The 13,085-nt window shown below is 36.0% G+C and overlaps 1 protein-coding gene across 10 annotated transcripts in view; it reads left to right on the forward strand.

Annotated features, from left to right (window-relative positions):
• The window catches only part of YTHDF3 (YTH N6-methyladenosine RNA binding protein F3), a 44,236-nt gene extending 31,921 nt beyond the window's left edge, over positions 1–12,315 (forward strand). For 9 of the 10 annotated variants that reach the window (NM_001277813.2, NM_001277815.2, NM_152758.6 and 6 more), the window contains one exon: positions 9,210–12,313. In NM_001277813.2, coding sequence (NP_001264742.1) covers positions 9,210–9,233 — 24 coding nt within the window. In that variant the 3' untranslated portion in view covers positions 9,234–12,313. Of the gene's footprint in view, positions 1–9,209 lie in introns of all 10 variants that reach the window. The other variant, NR_102434.1, reaches the window with a different exon arrangement.

A 13,085-nucleotide genomic window follows, 5' to 3' on the forward strand; every position in this document is an offset into this window, starting at 1 on the left:
GCTGAATTCTGTTGATTAGAAGCAATTCACTCATTGGGTCCAGGCCATACTCAGGGGAGGGGATTTATAAGGGTGTGAATACCTGAATGCAGAGACCATTGTGGTACTCCCTGCCACAACTCTTTTGAACCTTTTTATGGGTGGACCATATGGTTATATCAAATCATGGTACCTGATTTGAATTTATGGTGGTCTGGCAGTGTTTGTTATGATTATCAGGTTTTCAAATTTTTATTTGTAAACTGAAAAATTAGATTAAAGCCTTATTCAATTTAAAACATGTTATCTTTATTTCTAGCAAATACAATTTTGATTGGGAGTTTCAGGGTGTCAAGGTGAATTTTTAAGATGGGCCTTGAATGATAATATGTAGGATTTCATAATAAAGTCAAGACAGGCATTCAGAGCCTAGGGTATTGTGATATGTTGAAGTAATCGAAAATAGCCAAAACTTAGGGAGGGGAGGCAGTACAGAAAAAGAGATAAAGTTGGAAAGATGAATCACAAGTCGAAGGAATTGTTATTCAGCAGGCATTTTTGAACATGCTAGACACTTAAGGGATAGAGCTCATTAAGAAAATTTCTGTCTTCAAGGAGCTAAAGTCTGATAGTATTGAGGAATCATTTTTAAAGTTTTTAAGCAAGGAAGTTACATACAAATTAGATATGTTGAAGTGTCACTTTAGAAATATCTAAGCCTTCAATCAAACAAGGATTGCAAAAAGTAAGAGAAATATCTAAGCCATTGCATGTGTTTATATAGAGATTTACAGCTAGGTGTGGCTCATGCCTGTGATCCCAGGAATTTGGGAAGGTGAGGCGGGAGGATTGCTTGAGGCCAGGAGTTCGAGACCACGCTGGCCAACATAGACCCTGTCTCTATATTTAGAATAAAAAATAAATAAATAAAAATTTACATTGTGTTTTCAATTACATAGGAAATTATGTGAATGCCAGTAAAACCTTTATTTTACTACTATTTCTTCATTTCGTTAACAGTTAACATGCATAAAATTGTACTTACTGTTGGTCTCTAGTTAATAAATATAATTTACCAGATGTTGAGTTAATCATTTTCATTGTAGAGAATCCTCACCAAACTTTACATTGCACTCCAATTTCTGAGTGAAATTGACTTCACTGTTGGTGGCAGAAAGTTCTGAATTTATTGAAAGGTGATTCAACTCTGGTATTGGCTGCATTTGACGCGCTTGATATACTTTGTGCTGAATTAGAAATAACTTGAGGGAATTAAAAAAGCATAGTGAAAATCTACAATTAGAGAACTAGGCTATAAAAGCTATTAGTGAATAATTCTGCATGTGAAAGACAGTCTAGAATATAATAATTATTTTTATTTTCTCAAAAAGAGCCCAAAGTTTGGCATCCCAAATAGAATTGCATATGCATTCCTTTGCTTGACTTTAAGAGCCTCTGTTACCAGGTCTTTTTTCCTGAGATTTCTCCCAGCACACATCTTGTATTCTAATCAACCTATGCCACCATATATTTAGATCCTGCATGTTCTTTTCTTAACTGTGTTCCCTCATTCAACAGATAAATAATAAAGGGTACCGTAAGCCACCAAAGATAAATGACCCTTTTTAGAACTCAGTCTACTTAGGAAGCCAAATGTTTATTTCCTTTCTGGATAATTTTGCAATGCTAGAGCCTCATTAAAATGTAAATGTAAGTTTAAGAAATCTGAAGAGTGGATTTCCAAACAGAACCTCTCCATCCCCAAAACATAATGATTGTCCTTTCCCCTGATAACTATATAGTTTTGAAATTAGTTTTACAGTGCAGAATTGGTTTGTTTCCTTTACAGTTTTGTCTTTTGCTTTTTTAATGCCAAAGGATCCGTCCTTTTCTTGGGACAGTGCATGCTAGAAGCTTATCTAAGTATTATTAGCACTTTAAAGGTGGACATATGTGCAGGCTTTTGAGCAGCTGGGGTTTTATCCATCTGTTACTGCCCTTGTTCTACTCTTTTTTTTTTTTTTTTGAGATGGAGTCTTGCTCTTGTTGCCCAGACTGGAGTGCAATGGCACGATCTTGGCTCACTGCAACCTCCGCCTCCTGGGTTTAAGCGATTCTCCTGTCCCAGCCTCCCAAGTAGCTGGGATTACAGGTGCCCGCCACCACACCCAGCTAATTTTTTGTATTTTTAGTAGAGACGGGGTTTTGACATGTTTGTCAGGCTGGTCTCAAACCTCTGACCTCAGGTGAGCCACCCGCCTGAGCCTCCCAAAGTGCTGGGATTACAGGCATGAGCCACCGCACCTGGCCTTTGTTCTACTCTTTAGCATGAATTTTTTTAGACCTATCAGCCACCTATGCAGATTTCATTCCTGGTAAGTCATTAATTTTCCTAAAGAATTGAATCTATTAGATGTTTTAATTTCATTCTTCGTTTATGAACATCGTCTTTTCTTGAAACACGCACACGGTGTTTTTTATTCTTTTCTTAATTTTAAAATACAGTCTGCTGGGCACGGTGGCTCGTGCCTGTAATCCTATCACTAAGGGAGGCCAAGGCACGCGGATCACCTGAGGTCAGGAGTTTGGGACCAGCGTGGCCATCATGGTGAAAACCCATCTCTGCTAAAAATACAAAAATTAGCTGAGCATGGTGGCAGACGCCTGTGATCCCAGCTACTCGAGAGGCTTGAGGCACGAGAATCGCTTGAACCTGGGAGGCAGAGGTTGCAGTGAGCCGAGATTGTGCCACCGCACTCCAGCCTGGGTGACAAGAGTGAACTCTGTCTCAAAAAAAAAAAAAAATGCAGTCTGATATATTCCCTGGCTTTAAACTTTTGGGTGAAATTTCAGTAACACTTTTATCCTCATAAACAATAAGGATAAGCAGGACAACCATTAAAATAGTAATACCTTATAGAATATATATACACACACACATATATTTCTGCCATATGGTATTTGTTATTTGGTAGTTGTATGCAAGTTATAGTTTACTAAATTTAGTGATTTTTAAAAAACTTTATTTTGAAATAATTTTATATTTACAGAAATGTTTCAGAGATTACAGGGAATTTCTGTATATTCTTTATTCATTTTCCCTAATATTAACACATAATCATAGTACATTTATTTAAACTAAGAAATGAACATTGGTACAATATTATTAACTAAATTACAGAGGTTTTCCACATTTTCCCAGTTTTCTCACTAATGTCTTTTTCAAGATCTAGTCTGGACACTAACGTTGCATTTAGTTGTCATGTCTCCTTACTCTCTAAGCTGTTACAGTTTTTCCGTCTTGCTTTGTTTCCCATTACATTTTTAAAGAGTACTTGTCAGGTATTTTGTAAGATATCCCTCAATTTCGGTTTGGCTGATACTTTCTCATGATTAGACTGGGGGTTATGGATTTTTGAGAAGTATACCACAGAAGTGATGTATCCTCTTCATCTCATCTTATATCTTATTACTAGTGATCTTAACTTCGATTGCTTAAAGTGGTGTCTGCTAGGTTTCTCCACCATAAAATGTTCTGTTATTCCCTTTGTGTACTCTGTTCCTAGAGGCAAGTCATGCACTGTGCAGCCCACACTTGAGGAAATCAAGCCCCACCTACCGCAAAGAGGAATATCAAAGACTTTGTGACATTTTTTGTTGTTTGTCACCCTTCTGTTTGTTCTTTTTTCTTCTACTGGAATATTCATTTTTGTCTTGGATCTATCCTCTCATTTTTTTTTCTTTGTGCTTTCCATTTCTTTATTCTTGCTCTGTGATGTGAGATATTTCTTGGATTTAATATTCTACTCCACAAATGAGGCAGCGACCATTTCTCCCTTAATTAATCTACTGATTTTTTCAATTTGAAAATCAAGATTCTTAGCTACAAATTTTTTTGTGTGTTTGTTGTTTTTTTTTTTTTTTTTGAGACGGAGTTTTGCTCTTGTTGCCCAGGCTGGAGTACAATGGCGTGATCTCGGGTCACCGCACCCTCCACCTCATGGGTTCAAGCGATTTTCCTGCCTCGGCCTTCCCAGTAACTGGGATTACAGGCATGCGCCGCCACACCGAGCTAATTTTGTATTATTTAGTAGAGACGGGGTTTCTCCATGTTGGTCAGGATGGTCTCGAACTCCTCACCTCAGGTGATCCTCCCACCTTGGCCTCCCAAAGTGTTGGGCTTACAGGCATGAGCCACCGCGCACCTGGCTTGTTTGTTGCATTTCATAGCAAGTGTCTGATTGCTTCTTTTTTCAGATGTTCACTGCCTTCTTCGGCAGTTCTGTTTTATTGTTATTTATGTTCTCAGTGTTTATTCTTCTTTTCCTTTTGAATGCTATGGCCTTTTAGATACACAGTGACTTTTTCCTTTGTGGCTCATTTAGGCTCAGATCTGGTTACCGAAATATTGCTAATGGTGATAAATCTACCGAAGATTACAAGGAAAATAAGTCATTTATCTGTCTTGTCTTGTTAAGGGCATGCGGTAGGCTCCTCTTAGGACATTGAAGAAAGTCTTGGTTTTCAGCCTGTTTCATAGTTTGAAGACTAGGGGTCTTAGCTCATTTGTTAACCTCTGTGAAAAAGACAGGAGTTGGCAGTAAACTTCCTTCTGGGCTCATTTCCATATGACAAATTCCAGTCTTTGCTCTAGGATCCTTGCTGGTGTCCATTGTATTTGCTTAGTTCACGGTGGGGAAGAAGCCCTGTACTACTCAGTTTTTCCTCAAGAGATTCAGCCCTCAAATTTCAGAATCTGTCTAAAGCGTCTTTTTCTAAACTATAACTAGGGACTTAGTCCTTCTCCGGGTGTATGGGATCATGGCTATTTTTGTGTAATTCAGGTTTCCTTTATCCTCAAGTTACTTTCCAACAACATACCAGTACATGTAATTATGATGTTAACTATACAGTACCTCATTTTATAATAACATCAAAAGTTAATGATATCACTGATAGCTCATCATTTCTTTCTTTTTCTTTCTTTTTTTTTTTTTTTGAGATGGGGTCTGGCTCTGTTGCCCTGGCTGGAGTGCAGTGGTGCAATCTTGGCTCACTGCAACCTTCACCTTGTGGGTTCAAGCAATTCTCCTGCTTCATCCTCCTGAGTGGCTGGGATTACAGGTGTATGCCACCATGCCTGGCTGATTTTTGTATTTTTAATAAAGACAGGGTTTCCCCATGTTGGCCAGGTGGTTCTTGAATTCCTGACCTCAGGTGATCCACCTGCCTTGGCCTCTCTAAGTGCTGGTATTACAGGCGTGAGCCACTGCACCCGGTAGCTCATCATTTCTTAGTCTCACACTTCTAGTGGTCTGTAGCTGATAGTATGCCCATAGATATTGTGTTAAAATATTTTAATAGTAACACTGTCAGGCACAGTCCACCTTGCTGATATAAATGTGGGGTTTTTTTGGTCTTAAAGCAGAGGTTCTTAAAAAATGGATCATTAACTTTTGGAGGATTTGTGTTCTGTTGATGGACTTTTTACCATGCACTGTGGACTTTCAAATTTGTATTCCATCTGGACCCTTTTCTCCTATCTGCTAACTCATGTATCCAGTTGCCTATTTGACATCTTTATTTAGTTGTCTCATAAGCAGCCTAAATTTAGTGTACCTGTTTTGTTTTGTTTTTTGAGACGGAGTTTCGCTCTTGTTGTCCAGGCTGGAGTGCAATGGCGCGATCTTGGCTCACTGCAACCTCTGCCTCCCGGGTTCAAGTGATTCTCCTGCCTCATCCTCCTGAGTAGCTAGGATTACAGACATGTGCCACCATAGCCAGCTAATTTTGTGTTTTCAGTAGAGACGGGGTTTGTCAGGCTGGTCTTGAACCCCCGACCTCAGGTGATCCGCCTGCCTCAGCCTCCCAAAGTGCTGGGATTACAGGTGTGAGCCACCGTGCCTGGCTGTAACTCCTGTTCTTTTGCCTGCTCCAAACTTCATTCATCTTAGTAGGGGAGAGGGTATGATACCACTCTCCTTTCAGTTGCTTAGGCCAAAAGTTCTGGGCTCATCCTTGATACTTCTTTCTAACCCCTTATCTAATCCATCAGCAGTAAGTCTTGTTGGCTTTGCTTTCAAATATATACTGAATCCAGGCACTTCTTAGTAACTCTACTAAAGTTACTAATTAAAGTTGTCTTTAATTATGATTTAAATTTTTTGTCTTTAACATTCAGATTTATTGGCATATTAGCATGATTAACATTTTCATTTACTAATAATACTAATAAGTGTTCGTGATATCTAGACTTCATTTTTTAAAAATCAGTAATTTCAGAGACTTTTCTATTGTTTTTTTTTCCCTCTAAAACTTCAGCTTTTAAGTTTGTTTCTCTTTTCTAATTTCCATTATGATGTTTTGGAGACTGTTAGAACCGTGTTTTAGAAATTCCAAACATGGGTTTTTTTCCTTGTTATCTGTTTTGTTTCCAAAATTGATGTCAGGAAATGTGATCTGTGTACTAATTCTTTGACATTTACTAAGATTCACTTGATAGTTGCTCATTGTATACCTTGGTAAAATATGTACCTTGTAATTATTTGTCTCAGTTTTCTGTATTCTGTATACTCAATCTGTATTTTTGCTAATGTGTAAATGTGTTAAGTTCTCCTGCTCTCTTAAAAATGTCAGCTTCTCCTTGTACTTGACAACTTACTAATATATTTAAAATTGTAGTTTTAGTTTAGTATTGTTACAGCTTTTCAAAAACTGTTATGTAGCATGTTGTGACCATTGTGTCTCCAACAGTGGTTTTGACTTTAAGTCCACTGTCTGATATTAGTATAGTTGTATGAGTCTTCATTTGCTTTGTGTTATTGTATGTCTCTATTAGTCTTAACTTCCTTTTCCTTAAGTTTTAGGTTTATTTCTTATAAATTATGTATAATGGGATTTTAAAGTTTCCTTTGCCGGTATCTGGTGGTTTCATTGATGGGCCTACATTTATTGTGACTCCTAGTTTAAACGTGTAAATGATACAAATGTTTATTTCTACCCTCTTATTTTGTGCTTTCTAATCTAGATTTTTTTCAAACTCATTCTTTTTCTGTCCTTTTGGGGTATTTTCTTTATTCTCCCCTTGTCCATTGAGTTGGAAGTTATGCATTATATATATAGACGTATTATCTATGTAATCTATATATTTTAGTGATTCATTTAAAGTACATAGTTGATTACAATTCAAACTGAAACAGCATAACATGTGGTCCTCATTGTTACAACCGATCATCTCACTGGCATTAAACTACTCTTTGTCTGACTTACCCTTAAGAAGAGTTGCATTTTTTTCCTGTAGTTTCTAGGGCTCTTCATGGAGTTGAGAAATTTCTCTAAGTTTTGATCACTTATTTTATGGGGAGAATGAGCAGATTGCCCTTACATCTTTTTACTTAATTTCTCTATGTATTTTGTATCTAGCTTATTAGAGTGTGCTTCCAAATTTCTCATCCAAAGCTATTTATTTCCTTTAGCAGTGAATTAAACTTTCTTTATGTTTCAACTGGTTTGTGAAAAGTTGCAGGACCTTTGTAAAATTAAACTACAGCTTCATGGTACAAATCCTTGTTTTATCTTTTCTTCTTTTGCTGATATGGTGGGATTTTTGTTTTTGTTTACTCTCTTGAAATGTACTTAATCTAGCTAGCTCTGTTTTTGTTATTTTAGTCTTCCATTTCAATGTATCTCACCGATACTCGTTAGTCTATGAAATAGTTTCATTTATAGTTATGTAGTAGGACATTTCTTTTGTTAGCTTTATGTATGAAATAATGCTCTTCAAGTTCCAGGAATGTATTAAAATAAAAAAGAAAGGACTTTTAGTAACAAAGAGAACTGAGGTTCTCTTTGAAATTTACAATGCAGTTTTTAGGTGGTGTCACAGAGGATGGAAAACTAAATTGACCACTTGCAAAATACGATTTATATTTGTTACAGAACATGTTTTACTCATGCAAAAATAAAATGAGAGTAGCAAAAGCAAAGTGAGAGTCTTTTAATGTGTTAAACACCAGTGGTTTTCAAAGTGCAGTGTCTGGACCAGCAGTCCAGAACCACCTGTGAACTTGTTAGAAATTCAGATTCTTAGGTTCCACGTCAGACCTCTGGGGCCCAGACATGCCATCCAGGTAGGTGACTCTGATACTTGTTTTAGAACCACTAAGTTACACATTAAAACAAGGTTGTACAAACTACTTGATGTGTTCAGTTGATAGGCATGTACAATGCTAGTCATTTTTTTCATCAGAAGTGTTACAGATAAATACTTGATTTCTAATAAACATTGTTTAACTCAGTTTAACTTTTGTTCAAGTAGTTTTTGCTTTTTAAGATAGGAATTATAATTTTTCTCCCAATTATGTTATAAGCCAGCATTCGACTGAATTTGTCTAACACTCATCTTTTTTGTTGTTGTTGTTGTTGTTGTTGTTGAGATGGAGTTTTGCTCTTGTTGCCCAGCCTGGAGTGCAATGGTGCCATCTTGGCTCATGGCAACCTCCACCTCCTGGGTTCAAGCGATTTTCCTGCTTCAGCCTCCCCAGTAGCTGGGATTACAGGCACCCGCCACCACGCCCAGCTAATTTTTGTATTTTTAGTAGAGACGGGGTTTCATCATGTTGGTCAGGCTGATCTTGAACTCCTGACCTCAGTTGATCCACCTGTCTCGGCCTCCCAGAGTGCTGGGATTACAGGCATGAGCCACTGCGCCCGGCCTCATGTTACTTTTTAATGTGAAAAGTTATCTATCGTGTGCTGAAAGAGAGAGTGTAAGATACTCTCTTTGTGATTTAAAGTTTTTTTTATTAGTCTGAAATCTTCATTGAATGCAATTGTACTGCAATTTAATGTAACTTTTAACCTTTTTCTCCTGCCCCTACCTCAGCCAATAGCTTTTAGTCTGTTTGACACCTCAAGATGAAAAACTCTTTGAAAGGACTGAAAAGATGTTATTATATTCTCATCATAAACAAACAATAGGGATGTGGAGAGGATCTATACTCTCCTGAAATAGGTCTTTGTGTTTGAGAGTTCTTTATGTAAAATGTTTTGTGGTAATAATCTCACTATGGTATATAGAGGTAATTATCAATTGTTTTTAATTACTTGAATTAGTACTTGAACTTTATATGGAGATGATTTACATTATATGTGCATATAGTTTAAATCTTTAAATAATGAGAGTTTTTCATTGTAATTCTTTTTGTGTGTGTGTGTTTTTTTTTTTTCAGGAGAGAAATAGAAACAAACAATAACCGTATGAAGATGTCCTGTTAAATTTACAACACTAACGATGTAGACTCTGGAAATGCCTAATAAGTCAAAGAAGACGTATTAAAGCTCTTTTCTGCTTAAGGTGACATCTTTGAACACTTTAACACAAAGTTGACTCTTCTCGTAATGGTTTTCATCAGCGCATCTGCCCTTATACTCTTCACCAAACACACTTGAGAACTGTAACTTCGTCAAGCACTTTCTGTCCTGAAGCTTTTACCAGTATCTGCTGTCTTTTGTAATTATGCATCCTAGCTAAGGCACAGAAGACTGAATGAATGCAAGGATTCATTAACTCTTTGAATTTGTTAAATACTAACAGTTAACCATTAGAAGTGGTTCAATGATGTAAGAGTCACACTGCTTCAACTTTTTCTTTGTTGTAGTTTTTAAATTGTCGATTTTTAGCTATTTGACAGATTAAAAGCAAAATAATCATGCCATATTTAGTCCTGGAGTTCAAGTCTAAATGTTGATGTGAAAAATTATTGTAGTAAACTTTTAATATGGCAAAGCAACCTTAAGCTCTATTTTAGCCAAATGAAACATAATCTGAAATTATATTAGAACATTTCCCTTGTCTTCAAACTGTTTGGTGTAACAGAATATTGATATGCAGCTTGGTGGATTTCACCAGTTAATGCACATTCTTCTTCCCTCCTCCCCCCATTAATATGTATACTGAAAAATGTGCATTTGTCTGAGGAATTATTTTGTTTGCTACCACTTAATGAATCTCAAAATTTTGAGTAAATGTACCTCAGTCTAATCAGACTTTTTATGACCTTTATAACTACATTTAAAACCCTTAATTCCTATTTCTGGGTGTTTGCGAGCCTGATTGCTATCATGAAGTAAAAATTTATTACTCTAGGTATTCACTAGCTAAATAAACATAGTTCTTGTTTAGCAAGCATATGTTGTTCCTCAGCTCTTTTCTCCAGCTTTTGCAGTGTCCTGGCATCCTTAAAATACTTTGAAAATATGGCCTTGATCCATGGATTAAATCAGTATCTAAGTGAATGTGTTGATGTTTTATTGATCAGATCTATATAAGTGGGAATACAGCATATATCTGGATATTCTTATAGTTATCTTTTTAACATCTTATTTTTTTCATTAATTACATATCAACATTAATTTTGTATCTTGAAGCAAATTGATTTTGTATAATTAAATGTGTCAAGCATCTGTATTAATTGATTTGATGGCATAAGGTTATGAAAATAATGTACTGCCCCATGTATTACTGTTCCAAAAGGAGAAAGCTATGTAGAAAGATACATTAAGGGTGAAAATAGCAATACAGTAGATTTGAATACCTTGATGTTTTGCATTACTTCATTTATGTTTACATCATGTTTAGAAATGTTTTCATTTACTGTGGTCTTTGGTCACTTCAGCTCAAAGACCTAGTGATGGATATTTCTTTGAGGCTTTCATTTATATAATTTTATTTTGTACAATGTTTTTTTTAAATGTGCAAATACTGTATTCAAGTGAAAAAAATACAGTATTTGTAGATAACCATAGCTACTACACAGTTCTTCGGTAGTCCCAGTGTAGTTATATCAGTGTTTACTGAAGGGAACATCAAAATATTAATGGTATATTATAAAATAAAGACTTTCTTAAAGGAAAATTGCACCTATTTTACCTTTTTAAGAGTAAGCCATGAAATCTTGTAACATGTCTCTTAACTATTTATAATGAAAAGTGGCATTTGGGTATAGTCACCACAGCAATGTTCTACATCCCTAAGATTATCTAGGTAGGACATGTCAAAGATGACTGTTGTCATTCTGGAGGTCCTATTAGAGAATATTATAAAAGGGTGACCTTGTAGGAAGGATCTGAGTCCTCCCCCTGAGGTTCTCTTTTTCTTGGTGCTTTATTAGCAACTCTGGATATTTTTATAAAACTAGTTACATTATAAACGGTTTCAAACATGTTTAATTTACATTAGGTTTTTATGTAAGAGTGTCATGGAAGCACTCAGCAAGCAGGCTGATTGCAATAGACTCAGACATGCGAATAAATGTAATTGAGAGTCTATTCATGGTGAGGAGTACATCCCAGTGCCTTTAACCTGGATTTCTAATCTTAAGTGAAATGGGTGCAGCATTCCTTTGGAAAAAAAAATCTTTTTATTTTCAAGTGATAATTTTGTGTTTTTCTCATATAAGTTTTCTCCAGAGCACCCACCTTCTCTTCCTTCTTGGTCTGTCATTATATTGCAAAATATTTTTCCTCTGAATGAAATTATCACAGGTTGTCTCAAGCACAACCAACTGAATGTCTCTTAACTGTGGGGACCAAAAGGGAGAGAGCCTGGGGTCTACAAGAGGAGACACATCATCAAATGTTTGAATGATCACAAATTAAGACATTATCAGCCCAGTAAATTTCTTGCTTAATGTTTTTCCAAGTTCTGGCTTGAATATTTCTTATTAAAGCTATCTTATGTGGGTATTTTATTTTGAAAGGTATTATAGTTTGTATATTTAACAGTAAGGAGGAAACTGTAACCAAAATTAGTATTTCTCTATACGTATTGGTACTTGAAGATTCCTTTCAAAAGAAATCCAGCGTTTTCCTAATTTTAGTACTTAATTTCTCTTTTTAATTTAAGTGATCTTTCTAATTCGAAAGCTGTGTTCTTTTTGAATACCGTGCATGGGGGTTAAGCTGATGTTAAAACAGTTTGCAATAAAAAAAAATGAATCAGCTTAAGTCATTTAATCATTTCAAGTGCATTCTGCATCCTTTAAAAATAAGTTTAAGAAATTTAAGAGAATTGTGTTTTCATTAAGTTTTGCATATCTTTTGTTATGCCATGTAAATTCCCTTTTTCGTATGATTAAAGGAAGGTTATGATAAAATGATTAGTTCATTTACATTCACTTGTAGCAATTACATGAGAATTTGAATTTTGTCGTGTTTGGGTTTGTTCATTCCTGTGAATGATGGTACAGTTAGGTGAGATTTTCTGTTATGGTACCCAAACTCACCATTTGGTCCTCTTTAATCTTTGAGGGTTTCAATAAAAATTGTTCACTCATATCTGTGTTCTTTCCATTTTATCTTCATGAATATGTATTGCTTGCCAGAAAACGTAACATTTTTGCCTACTCTGTTATGGATTTCCTGATTGACATATCTTTCACGTACAAATAGATTATATCACTCCTTCTGGTTGACTTTAAATTAAACAGAGCAGTTAATCAGAGGGAGGGTAACAGTTTACCTTATTTTTTATCCATTCCAAGGAGCTTATTGACTTACATGCTTTTAATACTAAGTTTAGAACAAAAGAGAAAGAGAAGGCCTGTTTGTTTTTTGTAGCAGGAGGAAATAGTGGCAGCAGCTAATAATCCTAATCCCCCACTCTTGGTACCAAGGAATGTTTTTCTGACATTGTCTGCATTACCTCTTGGGATTGATAGTTTATGTGGATAGGATCATGGCAACTCTGGGTGATGCACTGATTATTGCTGGGCTCTCTATCTAAGGTATTTGTTCAGATAGGAAAATTACAGAATTGTTTTGTGTTGTCAAAACCAGCAGGCTACATATAACACTACTGGCCTGTGACGCGGGCACAAGCTTAAAGAATCACTCCAGGTGCCTACACTGCAGCAGCATCAGAATCCTCCCTTTTACTACTGGTCATCTAGAGAGAGCAAGGGTGTATGGCTCATCAGCATATTAAAATTGAGGCTAGTCAGTCATAGTTGGGGCCTAATTTGGCTTGGCTTTATGTTGCTTAGTGATACTGGATTTACTGATTCTAGTCTATGAACCAACATATTCTTGCAGTCAGAAGTTAACTG

This window comes from Homo sapiens, chromosome 8 (assembly GCF_000001405.40).
Source record: "Homo sapiens chromosome 8, GRCh38.p14 Primary Assembly".
In the NCBI taxonomy this organism is placed as follows: domain Eukaryota; kingdom Metazoa; phylum Chordata; class Mammalia; order Primates; family Hominidae; genus Homo; species Homo sapiens.